The 23,910-nt window shown below is 47.8% G+C and overlaps 1 protein-coding gene across 2 annotated transcripts in view, besides 6 other annotated features; it reads left to right on the top strand.

Annotated features, from left to right (window-relative positions):
- Positions 1,036-1,886: an enhancer, noted in NCBI's record as "H3K4me1 hESC enhancer chr16:28234253-28235103 (GRCh37/hg19 assembly coordinates)". NCBI's record gives its function as "activates a minimal SCP1, AML or CMV promoter by ChIP-STARR-seq in primed H9 embryonic stem cells {active_cell/tissue: H9 hESC(primed)}" and the evidence as "EXISTENCE:reporter gene assay evidence [ECO:0000049][PMID:30033119]".
- Positions 5,121-5,622: an enhancer, noted in NCBI's record as "H3K27ac hESC enhancer chr16:28230517-28231018 (GRCh37/hg19 assembly coordinates)". NCBI's record gives its function as "activates a minimal SCP1, AML or CMV promoter by ChIP-STARR-seq in naive H9 embryonic stem cells {active_cell/tissue: H9 hESC(naive)}" and the evidence as "EXISTENCE:reporter gene assay evidence [ECO:0000049][PMID:30033119]".
- Positions 12,616-13,105: a silencer, noted in NCBI's record as "silent region_7306". NCBI's record gives its function as "represses an Ori minimal core promoter by ATAC-STARR-seq in GM12878 lymphoblastoid cells {active_cell/tissue: GM12878}" and the evidence as "EXISTENCE:reporter gene assay evidence [ECO:0000049][PMID:35858748]".
- Positions 12,616-13,733: a biological region, named in NCBI's record as "H3K27ac hESC enhancer GRCh37_chr16:28222406-28223404".
- Positions 12,735-13,733: an enhancer, noted in NCBI's record as "H3K27ac hESC enhancer chr16:28222406-28223404 (GRCh37/hg19 assembly coordinates)". NCBI's record gives its function as "activates a minimal SCP1, AML or CMV promoter by ChIP-STARR-seq in naive H9 embryonic stem cells {active_cell/tissue: H9 hESC(naive)}" and the evidence as "EXISTENCE:reporter gene assay evidence [ECO:0000049][PMID:30033119]".
- Positions 12,853-23,910, top strand: part of XPO6 (exportin 6) — a 113,990-nt gene continuing 102,932 nt past the window's right edge. Inside the window, exons 1-2 of one of the 2 annotated variants that reach the window (NM_001270940.2) lie at positions 12,853-13,452; positions 15,696-15,831. Coding sequence is in view for 1 of the 2 variants with exons in the window: in NM_015171.4 (NP_055986.1) it covers positions 13,450-13,452 (3 nt within the window). In the remaining variant the exon portion in view is untranslated. The remainder of the gene's footprint in view (positions 13,453-15,695; positions 15,832-23,910) is intronic. The other variant, NM_015171.4, reaches the window with a different exon arrangement.
- Positions 15,616-15,910: a silencer, noted in NCBI's record as "tiled region #6679; HepG2 Repressive non-DNase unmatched - State 14:Gen5', and K562 Repressive non-DNase unmatched - State 14:Gen5'". NCBI's record gives its function as "represses a minimal TATA promoter and a strong SV40 promoter by Sharpr-MPRA in HepG2 and K562 cells {active_cell/tissue: HepG2 | K562}" and the evidence as "EXISTENCE:reporter gene assay evidence [ECO:0000049][PMID:27701403]".

The following is a 23,910-nucleotide window of genomic DNA, read 5'->3' as shown; positions in this document are numbered from 1 at the left end:
AAGAGTGAAACTCTGTCTCAAAACAAACAAACAAACAAACAAACAAACAAACAAAGCAACCTGGATTCATACCTCATACTGGACACCAAGATAGACTCCAAGTAGATGAAAGATTTACCTGCTAAAAAGAAAAAACTAGAAAAGCAGTGGAAGAAAGCATGGACAATTTCCTTTATAACATTGGCATGGAAATCTCCTTTTCTTTTTTTTGAGATGGAGTCTTGCTCTGCTGCCCAGGCTGGAGTGCAATGGCATGATCTCGGCTCACTGCAACCTCTGCCTCCAGGGTTCAAGTGATTCTCCTGCCACAACCTCCCGAGTAGCTGGGACTACAGGCATGCCGCCATGCCCAGCTAATTTTTGTATTATTAGTAGGGGCAGGATTTCACCATATTGGCCAGGCTGGTCTCGAACTCCTGACCTCGTGATACACACACCTTGGACTCCCAAAGTGCTGGGATTACAGGTATGAGCGACTGTGCCCTACCTCTTTCTTTTTTTAGAAAGAGTCTCGCTCTGGCACCCAGGCTGGAGTGCAGTGGCACAATTATAGTTCACTGCAGCCTCAAACTCCTGGGCTCAAGGGATCCTCCTGCTTCAGCCTCCCAAGTAGCTGATACTACAGGCAGATGCCACCATGGCTGGCCAATATTAGAAATTTTTTGGTAGAGAGGGAGTCTTGCTATGTTGTCCAGGCTGGTCTCAAACTCCTGGGCTGAAGTGATCCTCCCGCCTTGGTCTCCCAAAGTGCTGCAATGACAGACATGAGCCACCATGCCTGGCCAGGATAATGCGTTCTGTTAATGTAAAGGTCCTTTGCTTTGCTGAGCACCTAGAGTATGGATATGCAAATGGGGGGCAGCATCTGGGGCAATGCTGACTCCCATTTCTGCATAATAGTGGGGAGAGTGAGCTGGGCGTGGTGGCTCATGCCTATAATCCCAGCACTTTGGGAGGCAGAGGCGGGTGGATCATGAGGTCAGGAGTTCAAGACCAGCCTGGCCAACATGGTGAAACCCCATCTCTACTAAAAATATAAAAATTAGCTGGGCACGGTGGTGGGCGCCTGTAATCCCAGCTACTCAGGAGGCTGAGGCAGAGAATTGCTTAAACCCGGGAGGCAGAAGTTGCAGTGAGCCGAGATTGCGCCACTGCCCTCAAGCCTGGTCAACAGAGTGAGACTCCGTCTCAAAAAAAAAAAAAAAAAAAGTGGGAGAGAAACGTGAGATTTGGAGTGAAATTCTGAAGGCAGGGAACATGCCCTGGACAGCCAGGCATTATGGGAGACGAGGGGCTCAGGAAAAAAGTGAGCTAGCAGCAGACCAGCTGATGAAAAATTGTGAAAACAGGCAGAAAATATGGGGGAATAAAAAGCTGATGGCCGGGCGCTGTGGCTCACCCCTGTAATCCCAGCACTTTGGGAGGCCAAGGCGGGTGGATCACGAGGGTCAGGAGTTCAAGACCAGACTGGCCAACATGGTGAAACCCCGTCTCTACTAAAAATACAAAAATTAGCCCGGTGTGGTGGCCTGCGCCTGTAGTCCCAGCTATCTGGGAGGCTGAGGCAGAAGAATCGCTGGAATCCGGGAGATGGAGGTTGCAGTGAGCTGAAATCAGAGGTTGCAGTGAGCCGAGATCGTGCTACTGCACTCCAGCTTGGGCGAGAGGAGCGAGACTCCATCAAAAAAAAAAAAAAAAAAAACAAACAAAACTGAAAGGTGGGCCAGGCGTGGTGGCTCACACCTGTAATCCTAGCACTTTGGGAGGCTGAGGCAGGCAGATCATGAGGTCAGGAGTTAGAGACCAGCCTGGCCAACATGGTGAAACCTCGTCTCTACTAAACATACAAAAATTATCTGGGTGTGGTGGCACACGCCCGTAGTCCCAGCTACTCAGGAGGCTGAGGCAGAAGAATTGCTTGAACCCGGGAGGTGGAGGTTGAGGTGAGCAGAGATCGTGCCACTGTACACCAGCCTGGGCGACAGACCGAGTCTCAAAAAAAAACAAAAAAAAAGCTGAAAGGTTAGGTTATTTGCTATGGGGTCAGTGATGTAAGTCCTCTCCTCTGTATCCTCATGAACTCTTAGTAAAGATGCATAGGCCGATGCAGCAGCTTGTGTCTGTAGCCCCAGCTACACAGGAGGCTGATGTGGGAAGATCTCTTGAGCCCAGGAGTTCAAGGCTGCAGTAAGTTGAGATTGCACCACTGCACTCCAGCCTGGGATACACAGCCAGACCCCAACTCCCTTAAAAAAAAAAAAAAACAAAAGGCATGGTGGCTCACGCCTGTAATCCCAACACTTTGAGAGGCTGAGGTGGGAGGATTGCTTGAGCCTAGGATTGTTTGAGAACAGCTTGGGCAACGCAGTGAGAGCCCATCTCTACAAAAAATTAAAAAATTATCCAAGTGTGGTGGTGTATGTGTGTAGTCCCAGCTACTCGGGAGGCTGAGACAGGAGAATTTCTTGAACCTGGTAGGCGGAGGTTGCAGTGAGCCGAGATCACACCACTGCATTCTAGCCTATGCAACAGAGCGAGACTCTGTCTCAAAAAAAAAGAAATATATTGTTCCAACAACCAGCTAAAAGTGAAGGTGGGAGGTTGGGTTCAAGCTCTGAGGGGTCTCATAATCTGAAAGTTGCCTGACGTTCTTGGAAGATGTGAGTATGTCTTGGGGTTGGATGGGAGTGTTTTTTTTTTGGTTGTTTTGTTTTTGAGATGGTCTCGCTTTATCGCCCAGGCTGGAGTGCAGTGGTGCTATCTTGGCTCACTGCAACCTCTACCTCCCAGGTTCAAGCAATTCTCTGCCTCAGCCTCCTGAGTAGCTGGGATTATAGGCAAGTGCCACCATGCCCAGACAATTTTTGTATTTTTAGTAGAGACGGGGTTTCACCATCTTGGCCAGGCTGGTCTTGAACTCCTGACCTCATGATCCACCTGCCTTGGCCTCCCAAAGTGTTGGGATTACAGGCGTGAGCCACCGCGCCAGGCCGGGAGTGGTCTTAATGAACATGAGTCTCAGACACCACCTTTCTTTTTTTTTTTATTTTTTTATTTTGAGACAGTTTCACTCTGTCGCTCAGGCTGGAGTGCAATGGCGCAATCTTGGCTCACTGCAGCTTCCACCTTTGTAGAGACTGGGTCTCACTATGTTGCCCAGGCTGGTGTCAAACCTCTAGGCTCATGTGATCCTCCCACTTTGGCCTCCCAAAGTGCTGGGGTTACAGACATGAGCCACTGTGCCTGGTCAGATTCCCTGTTGATCAGTGAAACAGGTGGAATAAAGCCAGGCACGGTCCCTGTAGTCCCAGCTACTTGGGAGGCCAAGATGGAGAATTGCTTGAGCCCAGGAGGTCAAGGCAGCAGTGAGCCATATTCTCGCCACTGCACTCCAGCCTGGGCAACAGAGCAAGACCTGTCTCAAAAAAAATCTGCTTAAGCTATTCTTTTAAAAAAAAGCCTTATGATTCTAATATCAGAAATGCTATCTAAAAGAGCACTGGGGATGCAAGTGGTCAGTATCTAGTGCCATGTGACTTTTGGGTACAAGGAAGTGGGTCAAAGTGCAGCCTGGTTGATGCTTAATTGTAACTGTATTTCTGTGCAGAATTCTTGTTAATCCTGTGAGGATGGCTTCATTCAGGCAAAATTTCTCCATTAATCATGGTAATGGATGTTTGCAAACATTCATTTACTCTATGCCAGGAAATCACTGAGTAGGATACATTTGAGTTGGGTCTTTAGGGTGAGTAGGAATTTAAAAGGAAGGGAAAGGGATGAGGAAAAGGACACCCCAAATAGCAGAACAACATGAGCCTTGGCTCTGAGACATGAAAGAGTCCGCTGGGTGTGGTGGCTCGTGCCTGGAATCCCAGCACTTTGGGAGCCTGAGGCAGGTAAATCACCTGAGGTCAGGAGTCCGAGACTGGCCTGGCCAACATGATGAAAACCCATCTCTACTGAAAAAAAAAAAAACAAAAACACAAAAATTAGCTGGGCGTGGTGGCACATGCCTGCCTGTAATTGCAGCTACTCAGGAGGCTGAGGCACAAGAATCACTTGAACCAGGGACGCAGAGGTTGCGGTAAGCAGAGAACGCACCATTACACTCCAGCCTGGGCGATAGAGTGAGACTCCGTCTCAAAAAAAAAAAAAAAAAAAAAAAAAAAAAAAGAGTCTGCTGTTTCCAGGAGCCAAGAGGACTCTAGCTTGCTGGGTTTGTATATGGAGAGGAGTTAGAAAGGTGGGATGCAGGCCGGATGCAGTAGCTCACACCTGTAATCCCAGCACTTTGGGAGGCCGAGGTGGGTGGATCGCCTGAGGTTGGGAGTTTGAGACCAGCCTGATAACATTTTGAAACCCCGTCTCTACTAAAATTACAAAAATTAGCCGGGCATGGTGGCAGGACCCTGTAATCCTAGCTACTTGGGAGGCTGAGGCAGGAGAATTGCTTGAACCCGGGAAGCAGAAGTTGCAGTGAGCCAAGATCGTGCCATTGCACTCTAGCCTGGGCAACAAGAGCAAGACTTCATCTCAAAAAAAAAAAAAAAAAAAGAAAGCTGGGATGGATATAGTGATTAATAACTAAAATTTATTGAAAATCTTTGTCAGGTGTGGTGGCTTATGCCTGTGATCGCAGCACTTTGAGAGGCTGAGGTGGGAGGATTGCTTGAGCCCAGGAGTTTGAAACCAGCCTGGGCAACATAGTGAGACTGGTCTCTACAAAAGAATAAATAAAAAATAGTTGGGTGTGGTGACACGTGCCTGTAGTTTCAGCTACTCAGGAGGCTGAGGTGGAAGGATCACTGGAGCCTGGAATGTTGAGGCTGCAGTGAGCCATGATTGCACCACTGCACTCCCGCCTGGGCAATGGAGTGAGATCCTGCCTCTCTTTAAAAAAGAAAGAAAGAAAGTCTTGTAACGTACAAGCACAGTTCTTTTTTTTTTTTTTTTTTTTGAGATAGAGTCTCACTCTGTTGCCCAGGCTGGAGTGCAGTGGTGCGGTCTCGGCTCACCGCAACCTCTGCCTCCTGGGTTCAAACAGTTCTCCTGCCTCAGCCTCCCAAGTAGCTGGGACTACAGGCATGCACCACCACAACTGGCTCAGTTTTGTATTTTTAGTAGAGACAGGGTTCTACCATGTTACCCAGGCCGGTCTCAAACTCCTGACCCAGGTGATCCACCCACACAGTTCTAAACACTTCTCATGCTTTGCCGTGGTCATGGTGGGCTGCCGGATCTTTTCCATGTGCTCCCCTGCTGTCACACTTTCCCTGTGCTGCCTGCCCTGTGCCCAGAAGTTCGACCTGTACGGATTACATCAGCAGGCTCCCTTGCTCCCTGGCTTACAGCTGGACTTATCCAATGTGGATCCCCCAGCAGGAGATTAGCAAGAGAGCAGACAGTGAGGTCAGCATGTTTATTTCACTGGCATTCTCCCCACAGCATCACCTTAGCTGGCTGCTTCCTTCAGCTGCTCTCACACAATTCTTCCTTTCCAGATTCTGGCCTCCATTCCTCCTCTTGTCCCTGCAGGCTTAGAAGTACTAATAATCATGCTGTTACTAGACCTCTTGTGTTGTGTTTTCCTTTGCAGGGTTTCCTTACATCCCACCCTTTAAAAATAGTCCCCTTGTCAGCTGGGCATGGTGGCTCACACCTGTAATCCCAACATTTTGGGAGGCCAAGGTGGGGGGATCACCTGAGGTCAGGAGTTCACGACTAGCCTGGCCAACACAGTGAAACCTCGTCTCTACTAAAAATACAAAAATTAGCCAGTCATGGTGGTGCATGCCTATAATCCTAGCTACTCAAAAGGCTAAGGCAGGAGAATCGCTTGCACCCAGGAGGCAGAGGTTGCAGTGAGCTGAGATCATGCCACTGTACTCCAGCCTGGGTGACAGAGCGAGACTCCGTCTCAAAAAAAAAAAAAAAAAAAGTCCCCTTGTCAACATTTCTTTTGTTTTTTTTTTGAGACAGAATCTTCCTCTCTCTTTCAGGCTGGAGTGCAGTGGTGCGATCTTGGCTCACTGCAACCTCTACCTCCCAGGTTCAAGTGATTCTCCTGCCTCAGCCATCTGAGTAGCTGGGACTACAGGCTCGTGCCACCACGCCTGGATAATTTTTGTGTTTTTAGTAGAGACAGGGTTTCGCCATGTTGGCCAGGCTGGCCTCGAACTCCTAACCTCAAGTGATCCACCCGCTTTGGCCTCCCAAAGTGCTGGGATTACAGGCGTGAGCCACCGTGCCCGGTTCCCTTGTCAATATTTTGAATCCTAATTTGGTTTTCCTGATAGAATTTAGCTGAAACAGGTACCTGCCCAGCCAACTAGGTACTAGTACTATTCCTATTTTATGGATGAGGAAACTGAGGTTACAAAGAGTTTAAATGACTTGCTCAAGGCCACACAGCTACGTAACAGGCTGAGTAAAAACCCAGAGAGTCTGGCTCTAGAGCTGCGAAGGCCTTCAAAGGCCTTGAATGCCAGGCTATGCAGACAGTGTGTTCCCATCACCTACAGAGGGTGCCAGACTCTCACCCTTTCTTCCTTCTGAGATCCTCACAGAGCTGTCGTGGGGCTCAGACAGATCTTGGCTATGGAGGCCAGGCACAGTGGCTCACCCTTGTAATCCCAGCATTTTGGGAGGCTGAGGCAGGAGGATTGCTTGAGCCTAGTTTTTTTTTTTTTTTTTTTTGAGACGAAGTCCTGCTCCTGTCCCCAGGGTGGAGTGCAATGGCGTGATCTTGGCTCACTGCAACCTCCACCTCCCAGGTTCAAGCAATTCTCCTGCCTCAGCCTCCCAAGTAGCTGGGATTACAGGTGCCTGCCACCACGCACAGCTAATTTTTGTATTTTTAGTAAAGACGGGGTTTCACCATGTTGGCCAGGCTGGTCTCGAACTCCTGACCTCAGGTGATCTGCCCACCTTGGCCTCCCAAAGTGCTGGGATTACAGGCGTGAGCTACCATGCCCGGTTGAGCCTAGGAGTTTGAGACCACCCTAGGGAGACCCTCGTCTCCCTAGTCATTAAAAAAAAAAAAATTAGCTGGGCACAGTGACTGTAGTCCCAGCTACTCGGGAGGCTGAGGTGGGAGGATCACTCGAGCCCAGGAGTTTGAAGCTACGTCAGTTATGATTGAGCCACTGCACTCCAGCCTGGGCAACAGAGCAAGACCCTGTCTCAAAACCAACAAACAAATGAAAAAAAAAATGAGAGCTCGAGAGAGAGAGAGATGTTGGCCATTGAAAGAGCTACTCTGGAGCTTGGTGGCACATGTGACCCAAGATTAGCCAATCAGGGCATCACACTCCCCAGGCCATGGTGACTGGTTCAGGAGTGGGCATGTGACCCAATCAAAGACAAAGGGTTTATTTTTCTACGACATTTGTAGGAGATGCATATGCCCTTCTCTCCACCAGGCTTCAACCTGGAAGAAGGGAAAGCCTAGATATGCCAGGGCCCATGAGGATAAATGACCCCCAGTCAAGGAAGCAGAACCAACGAACAGAGAGAAACTGAATTCTGTGATATTCACACCCTGAATCCACCATATCTGAAATTCATCCAAACCTTTGGATGGCGTTTTACGAGACAATACATTCTTTTTTTCTTCTTCAACTGTTAAGAGTCCAAACTTTAGGGTCCCCACCTTGTTACTTGCAATGAAACGGACACAGTGGAAGACAGCTTGGAGTAGGAAAAGGACTGAAGACTGCAGCAGCCAGGTGAACTTCTATTCGTCCATCAAGACCCAACCCAAAGGTTACCATCTTTGTTGCTTCCTCCCCATTTCCTCGTACGCTTAGGAAGTTCATACACACCTCACAATGTGCTGTAATTATTTGGGTGGCTGTTGCTGACCCAGACAGTGGACAATTTGCCTGATTCTTATTCACTTTAAATACTTCATTTTTAGCAAAAGGCCTGGCACAAAGCTAATACTAACTCACTGAAAGTTTGTTGAATGAATAACTAAATGCAGGCGATCAAGGCAGTAGCAATAGAAATAGGCAGGCAGAGATGGCTGGGGGCCATCCCTGCAGTGCCAACTAAAAGTAATAGCAGCCTTAAATCTTTTTTTGGAATAAGACAGGCTTCAGATTAATATTAATAACAAAATGTTATTTAGTTTACTTGAACAAAATCCCTGGAGTCAAATTTATAATAGCTGTGACTTATCTCATGCCTCATGTGCCAGGTGTTTTATGTACATTAAATTAAATCTTCACCCCAGCCTGGCAATGGAGCTATGATGTGGTGACTCCACACATCCAGTTTATTCTGAGGAATTGAAAGCAACTCCAGGGGATTCTATAAGCCACTCATAGCAGTTCCACCCTCCTTCACTACGGCTAGATCCGGGGGACTAGGCCTAGGCCAATTAGGATCAGTAGGGAAAGCTTCTTGGCTTGAGAAAGGATGTGAGAAAGGTGCTCTCTCTTTTTTCTTTATTTTGAGATGGAGTCTCACTCTGTCACCCAGGCTGGAGTGCAGTGGTGCAATCTCGGCTCACTGCAACCTCTGCCTCCTGGGTTCAAGCAATTCTCCTGCCTCAGCCTCCTGAGTAGCTGGGACTACAGGCGCCTGCCACCATGCCCAGCTAATTTTTTTTTTTTTTTTTTTTGAGATGGAGTTTTGCTCTGGTTGCCCAGGCTGGAGTGCAATGGTGCAATCTCGGCTCACCACAACATCCGCCTCCCGGGTTCAAGCGATTCTCCTGCCTCAGCTTCCCAAGTAGCTAGGATTACAGGTATGCGCCACCACACCTGGCTAATTTTTTGTATTTTTAGTAGAGACGGGGTTTCTCCATATTGGCTAGGCTGGTCTCAAACTCTCGACCTTAGGTGATCCACCCACCTCGGCCTCCCAAAGTGCTGGGATTACAGGCATGAGCCACCATGCCCAGCCTCATTTTTGTATTTTTAAGTAGAGATGGGGTTTCACCAGTTGGCCAGGCTGGTCTCAAACTGCTGACCTCAAGCGATCCATCCACCTTGGCCTCCCAAAGTGTTGGGGATTACAGGTGTGAGCCACTGTGCCCGGCCAAAAGGTGCTCTCTTTTGCTGGATTTGAACAGGGAATTTTGTGGCCCTGGCTGTTCCTGGCAACCACCTTGACAACAAGTCTGATAATGGAGAAGAGCAGAGCAAGGAAGTCCTAGAGGAATGGCCGGGCGTGGTGGCTCATGCCTGTAATCCCAGCACTTTGGGAGGCCGGGGTGGGCAGATCACTTGAGCTCAGAAGTTGGAGACTAGCCTGGGCAACACAGTGAGACATTGTCTTTGCTGAAAAAAAAAAAATCAGCTGGGCATAGTGGCGCACACCTGTAGTCCCAGCTAACTGGGAGTTTAAGGTGAGAGGCTTGCTTGAGCTTGGGAGGTCGAGACTGCAGTGAGCTGTGATTGCGCCACTGCACTCTAGCATGGAGAACAGACTGAGACCCTGTCTCAAAAAAATAAAACAAAACAAAACAAACAAACAAACAAACAAACACACACAAAACCACACACAGAAAAAAAAGAAAATCCTAGAGGAATGGATCTAGGCCTCCCATCACACCCAGCCAAAAGCTAATGAATCTCTGGAAGTCCAGTTATGTAACCCAAAGGCATACCCTTAAGTGAGTCAGTTGCATTTCTGTTATCTCATTCAATTTTACAGTAAGGAAACCAAGACTTCGAGAGTCAATAACTCAAGATACCTTAGCTAGTGAAGTTAAGAGCTGGATTCCACTCCAAATGAGTCTCAACCCAAAGCTTTCACTCATCCTACTAAACTAAGCCAAGTAAGTGACTTGGCCTCCATTCCGATTCATCAGCTTACCTACTGAGATGGCTTCTCTTGTACATGCTGTTTCTACTGCCTGGAATGTTCTATGCCCCCTCTCTTTGCCTAGCAAACTCCTGCTTCTTTAAGGCCAAAGCTTAAAGAAATGTCACTTCCTGACTTCCTCCCCATCCTAATCTGCCAGATTATTTTAGATCCCTTGGCCTTATTAGCGTGTAAACTATATTAAAGTTATATCATGTTAGTTTCAATTTTTCCTTCATTGCTCTTATCACAATAACTGATCCATTATTGTACAATATTTTACAAATAATTTGTCTTTAAATTCCATAAGGGCACACATATATTTGTTTTGCTCAGCATTGAATCCTTGAAATAGTGACTGTCACTTAGTGGACAACAATAAAGATTTGATAAAATAAATGTGCTTGAGGCTGGGCATGGTGGCTCATGCCTGTAATCCCAGAACTTTGGGAGGTCGAGGTGGGCGCATCACTTGAGGTCAGGAGGTGAGACCATCCTGGCCAACATGGCGAAACCCCGTCTCTACTAAAAATACAAAAATAAATTTAGCTGGGTGTGGTGGCAGGTGCCTGTAATCCCAGCTACTTGGGAGGCTGAGGCAGGAGAATTGCTTGAACCTGGGAGGCAGAGGTTGCAGTGAGCCGAGATTGCACCATTGTACTCCAGCCTGGGCAACAAGAGCGAAACTCCCTCTCAAGAGAAAAAAAAATAGTGCTTGATGGCCTGGCGCGGTGGCTCATGCCTGTAATCTCAGCACTTTGGGAGGACGAGGCGGGTGGATCACCTGAGGTCGGGAGTTTGAGACCAGCCTGACCAACATGGTGAAACCCCGTCTCTACTGAAAATACAAAAAATTAGTTGGGTGCGGTGGTGGGCTCCTGTAATCCCAGCTACTTGGGAGGCTGAGGCAGGAGAATTGCTTGAACCCAGGAGGCGGACGTTGCGGTGAGCCGAGATCATGCCATTGCACTCCAGCCTGGGCAACAAGACCGAAACTCTGTCTCATTAAAAAAAAAAAAAAAGTGCTTGAGGCTGGGAGTTTGAGGCTGCAGTGAGCCATGATCATGTCACTGCAACAGAGTGAGACCCTTTCTCCAAAAACAAACAAACAAACAAACAAACAAAAAACTAAAAAACCCCTGAAAGCTATTGCTTTCAGTGGTAAAGTGTTGTATCAGTGGTTCTCCAAATGTGGTATCTAGACCTGCAGCATCAGCTTCATTTGGGAGCTTGTTAGAAATGCAAATTATTCAGCCCCATCTCAAACCTACTGGATGGGAAAGTCTATGAGTGGAGCGAGTAATCTTTGTTTTAACAGTCCTTCTGGGTGAATTGATTCAGATCACACTGAGGTTTGACAGGAAAGAAAAATAGCTCAGGGAAGTCTGAGTTATGTGAAGTATGCAAAATTTGTCAGGTCCACTGAGACTTGTGTATGGGAGTTCGGGCACACTCCCACCTCCACATGCTCGGGGACAATTGTTTAAAGATATTTTGTTCCAGACTAGCTGCCTCCCCCATTTCCTTCAGGTTCCTGAAATTTGTGATACAAAGAACAATGTATAGGCAATAGCTTATGTTATTTTTTCCCCCTTTCTCATCATTCCTATTCAACCTTATGTTATGCCTCTTTTTTCCTTAGAAACCCACTTGAAGCCAGGCGGGAGGGCTCACGCCTGTAATCCCAGCACTTTGGGAGGCCGAGGCTGGCGGATCACCTGAGGTCGGGAGTTCAAGACCAGCCTGGCCACTATGGTGAAACTCCGTTTCTACTAAAAATAAAAAAAATAGCCGGGCATCATGGTGGGTGCCTGTAGTCCCAGCTACTCGAGAGGCTGAGGCAGGATAATCGTTTGAACCCGGGAGGCGGAAGTTGCAGTGAGCTGAGATTGCACCATTGCACTCCAGCCTGGGCGACAAAGCGAGACTCCGTCTCAAACAACAACAACAACAAACTACACTCTAGTCTGGGCGACAGAGCAAGACCCTGTCTTAAAAACAAACAAACAAACAAGGAAACCCCATTTGTAACTGCCACTAATTGGACTATACTTCTGGTGGGCCATCTTCAAGCTTCGGGCTTGAATAAACCCTATACTTAAATACTATTTTCTCAATCTCGTTATTTAAGGTTGACAAGGGCCATTGGGTTACATAGATTTGCTCCAATCTATGTAGTAGGCACACCCGCGGGCTCAACCTCAGCTGTTTGGGATAGTTTCCTGACTGTTTCTTAAAATTAGCACTTTCAGCCTGGCTGGATGACTCATACCTGTAATCCCAGCACTTTGGAAGGCTGAGGCAGGAAAGCTGCTTGAGCCCAGGAGTTCCAGACCAGCCCAAGCATCAAAAGGAGGCCTCACCTCTGCAAAAAATAAAAAAATTTAGCTGGGCATGGTGGCGCACCAGGAGGTTGAGGCTGCAGTGAGCCATGATTGTGTTACCGCACTCCAGCCTGGGCAACAGAGCAAGAACCTGTCCCCAAAAATAAAACAAAATAAAGATGAGCACTTTCACGAGTAAAGTGGATTGGAGGATGGGAACAGGAATCCAACACATTCTCTGCCTCTCTCAGCACCTTGGCTATCGAAGTTACGTTTATCTCCCCTGTCCTAGCATCCACAGCAGGGCCTGGAATATAGTCGGGCAAGAGTGTGTGGACTGCATGAATGTAAGCTCCATAGGGCCGCGTGTCGTCACGCTGCCAGCTCGATGCTCCGCCCGTAAAAGGCACTCACTAAAATTTTAGCGGAATGAATGGGCGAAAAAAGCGAAAGGGAAACCACGCCTTTACTAAAATGGCAGCCCGGGCTCCCTTTACCAAGATGGCTGCCGGCCCGCGTGGACGCACGGGCGGTGGGCGCAGGGGGCGGGGCAAGAGAGGGCGTGGTAAGAAGGCGGGGCCAGTGGGAGCCGTCAGGTGCAGCCCCGCCCTCCGCCCTCCGCCCGCTCCCCCCGCTCGCCCCGCTCGATTCCGGATTGGTCCGGTTCCAGCGCCGCAGCCCGGCGGCCGCGCTGTGGGGCCGCCCGGCGCTCGCCACTTCCGGCGCGTTGGGGCTGTTGGTCGGGGGCGGCCGCGCGGTACTAGCGGGCGGCTCCAGGGCGGGCGCGCGCAAGGATGCTCTAGGGGGCGGCGGCAGTGGCCGTGTGGGTTGAGGCTGCGAGGACAGCGCGGGCCCCCGGGCCTCTCCCCTGAGCCGGCCGCCTGGGCCGCGCGGTCGAGGCCTGTCAGCCTCCGCCCGTTCAGCCTCGGGGCCGGGGCCGCCGCCACCTCTGCCCGCGGAGGCCGGGGAGCCCCTGCCTGGGCCCGCAGCCTCCCCCGCGGGGGTCGGGCCCGGGCGGGGGTCCCGAGCAGCTGCCCTCCTCGCCGGCATCCGAGCCTCATTTCCTGCTTTTTCAGTTTCCTTGGGGAGGGGCGGGTGGGTCTGGATGAATTGTCTCGGGGTCCCCCGATGAGGCGACCCGGGCGGCCCTGCCCTTTTTAGAGGGTCCCCTCGGGGCCCGGTGGGGAAGGGGTTGTCTTTGCATGGGTGGGGGACTTCCCGAGTCTGCCGGGACCATGACCTGAACTGTGCGAGCGGGACGTGTCCGAAGCCCAAGAACCAGCTCATCTGAGCCGCCCCCTCCCCGGCCAGCATGGTAAGTGGAATTGGAGCCCCCTTCCCTCCTGGGGTGCCCTACCGGAAGGGTGGGAATGGGCCCCGGGGCTGCTGAGCCATCGCTGCTCTCCCCATGGCGGGGAGAGGCGCGTGCGGAGCCTGGCCGGTGACACATGCGTGCAGAGTGTGCAGCCCCGGCCCTGCGCTCCCATCCCCCCAGGGATGATGGCTCAGGCCTGGGAGGGCCCTGGGAGCGCAGCAGGCACAACCCTTGCATCTGGTGTTTGCCTCCTGCAGCTCCTCCGGATAATAACTATCGTTTATTGAGGGCTTACTACTTGCCAAGGCCCTGCGCGAAGTGATTGACAGTGCAGTAGTATTTAATGATCACACCAGCCCTCTGTTCGGAAGTGGGGAGACTGAGGCACGGAGCAATTAATTCCCCAGCTCAAGGTCAAGCGACTTTTTAACAGTGTTAAGATTTGAACCTAGGCATCTGACTTTGAACCTAGGCATCTCTAATACACTTAGAGAGCTGGGTGATTGTAGGAGAAACATCTCATCTAGCTGTAGGTTTATATATGAGGAAACAGAGCGATTTACAGAGGTCACTTGCACAGGTGATGGCAAAGTCAGGAATGGTCGTGATCTTTTGACACTGAGGCTGCTATTCTACATGCTCTGATCTCTGCTGAAGCTACCTTCCACGTTTTCTAGACCGATACTTTCAATACTCCCCTAAATGTGTGTACTCACATCTCTTTGTGTATCCACATCTCCACGTTTTCTAGACCGATACTTTCAATACTCCCCTAAATGTGTGTACCCACATCTCTTTGTTAAGCATTTGCCTTTTTGCTCTTGTAATTATTTCTGAGCCTTATCTGTCTATTGCGGTATACACAGCTCCTTCAAAGACCAAATTGTTTGAACCCTTATCTGCTCCAGCTCCTGGCACATAGTAAGCCCTTGGTAAGTACTGGATCACCTAGCCTGTGGTTGAGCACCTCGAGGAGTGGAGCTGTTCTCCTCAGTTTCACCCATTTTACCCCTGCCAAGTTAGTGGTATAATAGAGAAAGGGACATAGCTGCATCTTTTGTGATACAGACCTTAAGGCCTGTGGAATTTTCGAAACATTCAAGGGGCCTGTGGGTAGTGTGTAGGTCCTGAGATATGGAGCTTACAACCAGCTGGGTAAAGTACACCATTAATGCTGAGCAGCACCGTACAGTATATGCTATACGTATAGTGTATGTGTTTTATTTTTATTTGTTTTGAGACAGGGTCTTGCTTTGTTTCCTAGGCTGGAGTGCAGTGGCACGTTCATGGCTCACTGCAGCCTCGACCTCCTGGGCTCAAGCAGTCCTCCCACCTTAGCCTCCCAAGTAGCTGGGGCTGCAGGCAAGTGCCACCATGCCTGGCTAATTTTTTGTGGAGATGAGGTCTCACCACGTTCCCCAGGCTGGTCTTGAACCTGAGCTCAAGTGATCCGTCCTCCTCAGCCTCCCAAAGTGCTGGGATTACAGGCGTGAGCCACCGTGCACAGCTGAGTCTATGTATTTTAACATATATATTACACAGTATGAATTGTGGCAAATCAGTTAAGCTCTCAGTTCCAATTTCCTCAACTATGAAATTTGGGGATAGGATTTCTCTAAAGAGTAATCTAGAGGTATGAGGTATAACATTTAGTGGCTAATGAAAGTAGCACTCATTCCTTCCTTCATTTATTCTTTCAGTAATGCTTTTTTTTTTTTTTTTTTTGAGATGGAGTTCAGCTGTTGTTGCCCAGGCTGGAGTGCAGTGGTGCAGTCTCAGCTCACGGCAACTTCTGCCTCCCGGGTTCAAGTGATTCTCCTGCCTCAGCCTCCCGAGTAGCTGGGATTATAGGCATGCGCCACCATGCCCGGCTAAATTTTGTATTTTTAGTAGAGATGGGGTTTCACCATGTTGGTCAGGCTGGTCTTGAATTCCTGACCTCAGGTGATCCACCCGCCTCGGCCTCCCAAAGTGCTGAGATTACATGCATGAGCCATCGCGCCCGGCCTCAATATACTTAAGTTTTGTTTTTTAATTGTAGTAAAATATACATAATTAAAATTAGCCATTTTAACCATTTTTAAGTGTACAGTTTAGTGAAATTAAGAACATTCACATTGTTGTGCAACGATCACCACCATATATCTCCAAAGGTTTTTTCCCAAAACAACCTGTACCCGTCTTTTTTCAGTCTCTCCCCTGCCCTACTTTAGTTTCTATTTCTATGAATTTGACTACTTTAGGTAGCTCATGTAAGTGGAGTCATGAAGTATTTGGCCTGTTGTGACTGCCTTATTTCACATGGCACAGTGTTCTCAAGCTTCATCCGTGTGGTGGCGTGTGTCAGAGCTTCCTTCCTTTTGAAAGCTGAATTCCATTGTGAGTATGTGCTGCATTTCATATATCCTTTCATCCTTCGGTGGATACCTGGGTTGCTTCCACCCTTTGGCTATTGTGAATAATACTGCTGTGAATATGGGTGTACAAATCTTACAAGTGAATTTTCAGTAGCCACCACCATATACCAGGGCCTAGGGCATGTACAGATGAACAAGACACACATTCCTCCCCTTGGGAAACTTACAGCATTGCTTTAGGACCCTTGGACAGAATTTTGTTATTGACTGAGCTAGCCCAGCACCCTTGTATTGAGGTTTCATTTTAATTGGCAGTCAGTAGAGCATCATGGGAATGACCACCTTTGAGTAATGAATTGTAAAGTAGTTGGCTTCATGAACTCCATGTGCATTTTTTCTGAGGTACGTTGCAAGTCAAAGTTTTTGTCACCTAGACCTCAGTTATTTAAGTACACAGGGGGTGGCCATAGTTGATGTGAATAGGATTGTCCTTTTTGTGTCACTGACACAGTGGTTCATCTGTAGGTATCCCAGGGTCAGGGGCTTGGGTAGGGTAGGCCCTGTCCCCCAAAGGTAAGGAAACTGTTGCCTGGCTGGTGTCTTACAGGCGGAGGGTCTTTTCCCTGGGATCCCAGCTCTTTATTCCAGGAAATTATTTCCTCTCCATTTCTTGCTGACTTAACATTTTTACTTTTAAGGGTATTAGTTGGCATAAGTTTGAGCCCTTTTAACATCTTCTTTTTAAATCTTCAACTCTAATAAGACTTGAAAGTGGCGTAATGTGATAAAAACTACCACTTATTAAGCATCTTTGATGTGCTAGCTATTCTTCACTCATTACTTGTTTTTTCTTTCTTTTTTTTGAGACGGAGTCTCGCTCTGTCACCCAGGCTGGAGTGTAGTGGCATGATCTTGGATCACTGCAACCTCTGCCTCCTGGATTCAAATGATTCTCCAGCCTCAGCCTCCTGAGTAGCTGGGATTACAGGCACGCCCAGCTAGTTTTTTTTTTTGTTTTGTATTTTTAGTAGAAATGGGGTTTCACCAGGTTGGCCAGGCTGGTCTCGAACTCCTGACCTCAGGTGATCCACTCGCCTTGGCCTCCCAAAGTTCTGGTATTATAGGCGTGAGCCACTGCGCCTGGCCAAGTTTTTCTCTTAGTCATTCAGTATCAGTAAACCCCACCAACTCTGCTAGGTTCCACTATGGCTGTTCCTGCCAGAGCGGGAGATGGACAGACCTGCTCTGTGATTCCTAGTTGACAAGTGGTGGAGTTGGCATTTAGACCCAAAGTGCTGTACTCCGGAGCCTGTGCTCTTTGGGTGCTGCCTCATGGGAAGGAAGATCAGGAGAGTCTTCCACCTGTATGTTGTTTGGCTTAGAGATAGATAGTGGTGGAGCATAGGGAGTATGGGGAATTTTGTTTACACTATCCCTGTTGACCTTCACATTTAGAACCAGTTTAAAAAGATTTATAGTTGCAGTATAGAATTACAGGAAGAGCTAGCATACTATAACTGTATTTGATTAAATCATTTTTTGTTGCATTCCCATGGATTCTTAAGTGGTGTGACATGTTAGAGGTTCCCACTACTTTGCTGAGAAATTATTACTTAGTATTGAGCGAGCTGTTGCTTAATATGAAAATTGTGTGCAAAATTGAGTTTTTGCTTATATTAGCATTTCTTTTTTAGTTGCTTAGAAATTGAATTGCCTGCTAAGGTTTGTTTTCTTTCTTTCTTTCTTTCCTTTTTTTTTTTTGAGATGGCATCTTGCTTTTGCACCCAGGCTGGAGTGCAGTGGTACGATCTTGGCTTACTGCAACCTCTGCCTCCCAGGTTCAAGCAATTCTCCTGCCTCAGCCTCCTGAGTAGCTGAGATTACAGGCACCCACCACCATACCCGGCTAATTTTTGTGTTTTTTAGTAGAGATGGGGTTTCACCACGTTGGTCAGGCTGGTCTCGAACTCCAGACCTCAGATGATCTGCCCACCTTGGCCTCCCAAAGTGCTAGGATTACAGGTGGGAGCCACCACACCTAGCCTTATTTTTTTAATATCAGTTACCGTGAGTGGCCCCTGTAATGGAGGCAGAATCAGAACTGAAATTTAGCCACTCACATGGCATGTCATCCACTTGTTCATCCACAGCATTGCATTGTACCCCATGCTCTCAGAGGTACAAAGAAGACATGGGGGTGCAGGGAGATGGCAGGGAAAGGTTCAGCAGTACCCAGAGGTTTTGTATGTCAGTCACAGCATTAGAGAAAGTCTGGAGAAAAAGTTACCTGTCAAGAAATGACTTGAATAGCTTCTGAAAAAATTAGTATATGATATGGTTCAAATCACCTGATAAAACCAAAATGTGGTCAGCAAAATTAATGTAGTATAAAGAAATAGGTAGATTAAGCCAGAGTTTTTGTTATTGGTTTTTATATTTATTATATATTTATTTATTTTTTGAGACAGGGTCTTGCTCTGTTGTCCAGGCTGGGGCGCAGCAGCACAGTCACAGCTCATAGTGACCTCGATCTCCTGGTCTCAAGGCAATCCTCCCACCTCAGCCTCCTCAGTAGCTGAGACTACAGGCCCATGCCACCATGCCCAGCTAATTTTTTTATTTTTATTTTTTGTAGAGAGTGGGGATTGCTATGTTGTCCAGCCTGGTCTTGAACTTCTGATCTCAAGCAGTCCTCTTGCCTCAGCCTCCCAAAGTGCTAGGATCACAGGCGCGAGCCACCACACCAGGCCAAATAATCATGAAATAATGTATTGACTTCCTGCTATGAAGTTTACAACCCTAGGTACTGTGGTTACAATCTAACAATATAATAGTTAATATGTGTGTGTGTGTGTGTGTGTGTGTGTGTATTGCTTTCTATATGCCAGGCATCTTACATCTATGAACCTATGAACCCATTTACTGTCCCAAACAACTCTAGGAGGTAGAGGCAGTTTTTTTTTTTTTTTTTTTGAGACAGTCTTGCTCTGTCGCCTAGGCTGGAGTGCAGTGGCGTGATCTCAGCTCACTGCAGTCTCTACCTCCTGGGTTCAAGCGATTCTCCTGCCTCAGCCTCCCGAGTAGCTGGGACTACAGGTGCGCACCACCATGCCTGAATAATTTTTGTATTTTTAGTAGAGATGGGGTTTCACTATGTTGGCCAGGCTGGTCTTGAACTCCTGACCTCACATGATCCACCCGTCTGGGCCTCCCGAAGTGCTGGGATTACAGGCGTGAACCACCATGCCTGGCTTAAAGGCAGCTTTCATTTCATGTTTTATAGCTGACATTCAGTGCACTGAGAGGTTAGGCAACTTCCCAAGGTCACACAGCGAGTCACTGCTCATAACCGTTACACTTCCAGGGTAATATTTAATACTGCCCCTGCCCTCTGGGAGTCAGTTTAGTGGGGAAGATAAGTCAACATACTCTGAAAATACAAGAGACTGTGATACAGGTGATAGTAGAAGAATGTGTTGGTGCAAAGGGGCATTGGTACAAAGATTGCATAGGTACTGACCTGAGAGAGATTGGCTGAGAAGAGTCAGGGAAGGCTTCCCAGGAAGGTATATTTGAGTCTTGAAGGATGAGGAAGAGTTTGACACTGGGACAAAGAAAGGGCCTTCCAAGTGAAAGTTTCTTGCAGACAGTTACAAAGGTCACATATATAGCAACAAAGATAATAGAAAATGATAGGTGTGAAGTGAGAGTGAAGGAAATAAACATTTGTTGGGTGCGTAGGACTTTCTAGGGCTTTATATGCATACCTATGTACACATATACATGTAGTACACAAACATGGTATTTTTTTTATCTGAAACCTTTACTCCTACTTTCCTGGCCAGTTATTGCCCTATTTCTTTTTTCCCCTTTGCAACAAAACCCCAGGAAGGAGTGGCCTGTACTTGGTCTCTAATTCCTCACTTTCCCTTTGCTCATTAATTTTAGACATAGGATCTCGCTCTGTCGCCCAGGCTGGAGTGCAGTGGAGTGACCATAGTTCACAGCAGCCTTGAACTCCTGGGCTCAAGGGATCCCCCTGCCTAGGCCTCCCAAAATGCTGGGATTATAGATGTGAGTCCCCACGCCTGGCATTATTCTCTCTTAATCTCACTTATCAAGGTGATAAGTGTTGCTTATCCAGTGTTGCTAAATCCAGTGGTTAGCTCTCAGTCCCTATCTTACTGGATCTGTCAGTAGTGTCAGACAAGTGGAGTACCCCTTCTGCAGTTCAGCCTTTCGTCACTTGGCCGCTGGGACACTAAGGTGTGTTCTTGGTTTTCCTCCTGTCGCACAGGTTGTTTCTTCCTCATCTCATAGCCGGAACACTCTAGGCCTCGAACTTAGTGCCTTCATCCAGGACACCTATAACCCAACATCTCTCTCCTCAGCTCCAGTTCTCGAGTCTCCAGCTGTCTGCTTGACATCCAAGCTGGTTTGTGAGACGGGTCACATCTCCCCTCTAGCTCACCTCCTTTAGCTCTCACTGGCTGTGCTGCAGCTCCCTCGGTCTTCTTACTGCTCTTCAGACCTTCTGGGCATGTTCCTGCTCCAGGCCTTTGGCCTGGCTCCCTGCCTCTGCTTGGACCGTGCTCTCCCTGAGAATCTGCTTGACTAAACCTTTAAGCCTCGAGTCACTTTTCCAGTGGGGCCTTCCCTCACCACCCTGTTTAAAATGGTAATGCCACTTCAGCACTTCCAGTCCCTGACATCCTGCTTTACTTCTCTTTTTGTACAATTTTTTAACATTTTATATACTCAATATTATTAATGAGGTTGGTCTTTTGTTGTCTCCTGCTAAAATGTTAGCTCCATAAAGCTAGGGAATCTCTCTTTTGTTCATGTATCCCAAGAGTCTAGAGCAATTCTTGGCATAGTGGGCAATTAAATTGTGGTAGGGATGTTGTTGAGGTCTTGGGTGTTCAAAGGGAGCTTTAGGGAAGGAGTAAACTAGGCTCCCTAGCAGTTTCAGAAGTTTGGAAGTTTCAGAAGAGAAGGATGTGAAGAAGTAGTTGGAGAGAAGGCTATCAAGGTAGTTTGTGGCTAGATGATGGAGGGTCTCCAGTACTACCCTAGGGAGTTTGGCTTTCTCTTGTTGGATGGTTTTTCCTTAAAGGAAACTTAATCTGCTGTGTATAGGTTAGATGTGGGAAACCAGATGTTACACCATGCCTGTGTGGATGTGACAAGGGCCTGCCTGTTCTTGCATGTGTAATTAGTGGTTGAGAGGAAGACCTGGTAAGGGAGTTGTCACTTAAAACTGATTCCAGAGTTAAGAGATGAGGAAGAAGGAAAAGCACAAGCTGATTTTGGAAGCCTGTAACCTGGCGATTGAGAGTAGTAGAAAGTTTTAATCAGTTGGTGATTTGGATTTGGTAGGAATGGAAGCGATAACATGTAAACTGATAGGAAGAGATGACAGGAGATGGGCCATGTGCTGATGAAATATGGGATGTGGCTATCTCTGTAGGTAGGTGAGCAGTTGTGGCGCTGTTGACATGAAGGTAGTTGGCCCTGGGCACGAGAAGGATGTTGAAGATCTTAAGTAGTTGCATTGTCAAATGTATCTGTCTAAGCCAAGGAAGATGTGATAGCACAGGCTGTGTTGAAAGGGTAGGAATTCCTGAAAGTGTGGTTGCCACTCTACCTCTACTTTTTCAACCTCCCACCTCTCCTTTCCCCCTGTCATTCATTCTACAACCCATTGCTGACTGACTTTTTTTTTTTTTTTTTGAGATGGGGTCTTACTCCGTCGCCCAGGCTGGTGTGCAGTGGAGCAATCATGTCTTACTGCAGCCTCTATCTCCTGGGGCTCACGCGATCCTCCCACCTCAGCCTCCTGAGTAGCTGGAACTATACGTATGCATCACCATGCCTGGGTAATTTTGTATTCTTTGTAGATACGAGGTTTCACCATGTTGCCCCTGCTGGCCTTGAGCTGCTGGGCTCAAGTGATCCTCCGGCCTCAGCCTCCCAAAGTGCTAGGATTACAGGCGTAAGCCACCACGCCCAGCCAGCAGACTTTTTGTCTTTACCACTTTTCAAGATTATGTGTAACATCTGTGTGCTGAGTTCAGTTTAATGCGTATTTTCAATCCTTAGGTCATTTGACCTCTCAGTGTGGCCTTTGGCAGCCACTGATCTCCTTTTCTTTTCTTGAAACACTTTTCTTCTTGGCTCCCGTGGCATCCATGGTATTAGTCTCTTGGTTTAGCCTCCCATGGCTTCAGCTATGACCCGTGTACCAATGAAAACTAAACCCTCACCAGCTGTAGATATCCAGTGTTCTGACAACATCAAATTAAATGTGTGTTAAACCAAATCCATCATCTTCCTCTCAGGTTAGTGCCTCCTCTGTCTTGCCCTGGTTCTGTTAATGACCTCATTTTCTAGCTAGTCAAATGATGAACCTGAGTCATCTTTAACTTCCTCTTCTATAGCGCCCCCCTGCTTCCAGACCTGTTGATGCTGCTGCTAACGTATCTGTGTCCTGACCCTGACCTTTCCCTCCATTCCCTCTGCTTTGATCAAGCTGTCATTGTCTCTTGCTTTGGTTGTTGCTGTCATGACCGGTCCTCTCTTCCAGGTTCTGCGTCCCTCTGTCCATCTTCCGTACTGCTGAGCTGCCTCATAGAGCTCAGATGTGATCATGCCACGTGAACCCCAGTCATTCAGAGCAGAGGGTTCCCACTGTTGTCTGAGACCAAGTTTTCATCATGGTAGAGTAACATGGGCCCTGAATTTTAAGTTTCTTACTTACTTTGAGGTCCCTCAGTAAGGATGAAGATGGTTCATTAAATACTTAAAGTGATTTATTTGGAGTATCTATGAAAGACTTCCCAAAGTACACCTTGTTTTCCAGCCACAGCAAACCATTTGTCATTCCCAGAACACTCAGTGCACTTTAATACTTGTCTGCCTTTGCTGATGCTGTTCCCTCTGCTCTAGCGCCCTTTTCTTTCTTGCAAATGAAACTTATGTGACATCTCAAGGTTACCATAAACATTACCTCTCTGAGGCTTTCCAGCTGCTAGTTTATCATAGGTCATCTTCGATTATAGTTTGGTATTTTTTGGCTTTTATTATTTTGATATGTTTGTTTTTGTTAATATAAGAATGACAAGACTACATTATTATTATTATTATTATTTTTTGAGACGGAGTCTCGCTTTGTCGCCCAGGCTGGAGTGCAGTGGTGTGATCTCGACTCACTACAAGTTCCGCCTCCTGGGTTCAAGCATTCTCCTGCCTCAGCCTCCCGAGTAGCTGGGACTACAGGTGCATGCTGCCACGCCTGGCTAATTTTTTGTATTTTTAGTAGAGATGGGGTTTCACCGTGTTAGCCAGGATGGTCTCGATCTCCTGACCTCGTGATCCACCCGCCTCAGCCTCCCCAATTGCTGGGATTACAGGCATGAGCCACCACGCCCGGCCAAGACTACATTCTTACAGTGAGTGTCAGACAGTTCAGAAGTTTCAAGAGCAAAATGTGGATCTCTTGCCTCCTTCCCCACTCCTCCTCCTTCCCACTCCAAGCCTGGGGGTGAGGAGGATTAGTTCTTTCTCTTTAAGAGCCCATAGCAGAGTGCGTCTTACTCTGCTTCGCCTCTTTAGTGCCTAGTAAGCATTCAGCAGATACATGAGTAATTAAGAGTCAGGTGTAAAAATAAACCCAAGCAGGTCAAGGTGGGCCCTTGAGGTTAGTAAATGATAGTAATAGTATTTGGAGAGGGTGGTAAGAGTGAAATAGAGTATGAATGCAGTAACACCTTGTATTTCCAAAATCCATGCAACCAGCAAGCTCAGATAACTGTATTTTTTCCCCCGGTGGGTGGAGATGGGCAGCAGGTGAGCAAGGGAAGTTGTCAGAACAAGTGCTGTGGGGGGTGGTGTGCTTACTGGGGAGCCCCAAAGCTAATTGCTACTGGGAGAACCGCTGAGGAACAATGAGGAGTGGGAGTGGGTGAGGTGAGGTCTTTGTGGATCTTAACCAAGGAAAGACACAGGGCAGAGAAGTGAGGGGGTGAAAGAGGCTAATGGGAAGGGAAGGAAATGGGCATAGAGAGAGAAAAGGTCTGTGTTTCATAATTGCACTCTGTGC

Source organism: Homo sapiens, chromosome 16 (genome assembly GCF_000001405.40).
Source record: "Homo sapiens chromosome 16, GRCh38.p14 Primary Assembly".
Classification (NCBI taxonomy): domain Eukaryota; kingdom Metazoa; phylum Chordata; class Mammalia; order Primates; family Hominidae; genus Homo; species Homo sapiens.
Note: the sequence above shows the minus strand (reverse complement) of the source record. Positions and strands in the feature narration are given on the sequence as shown.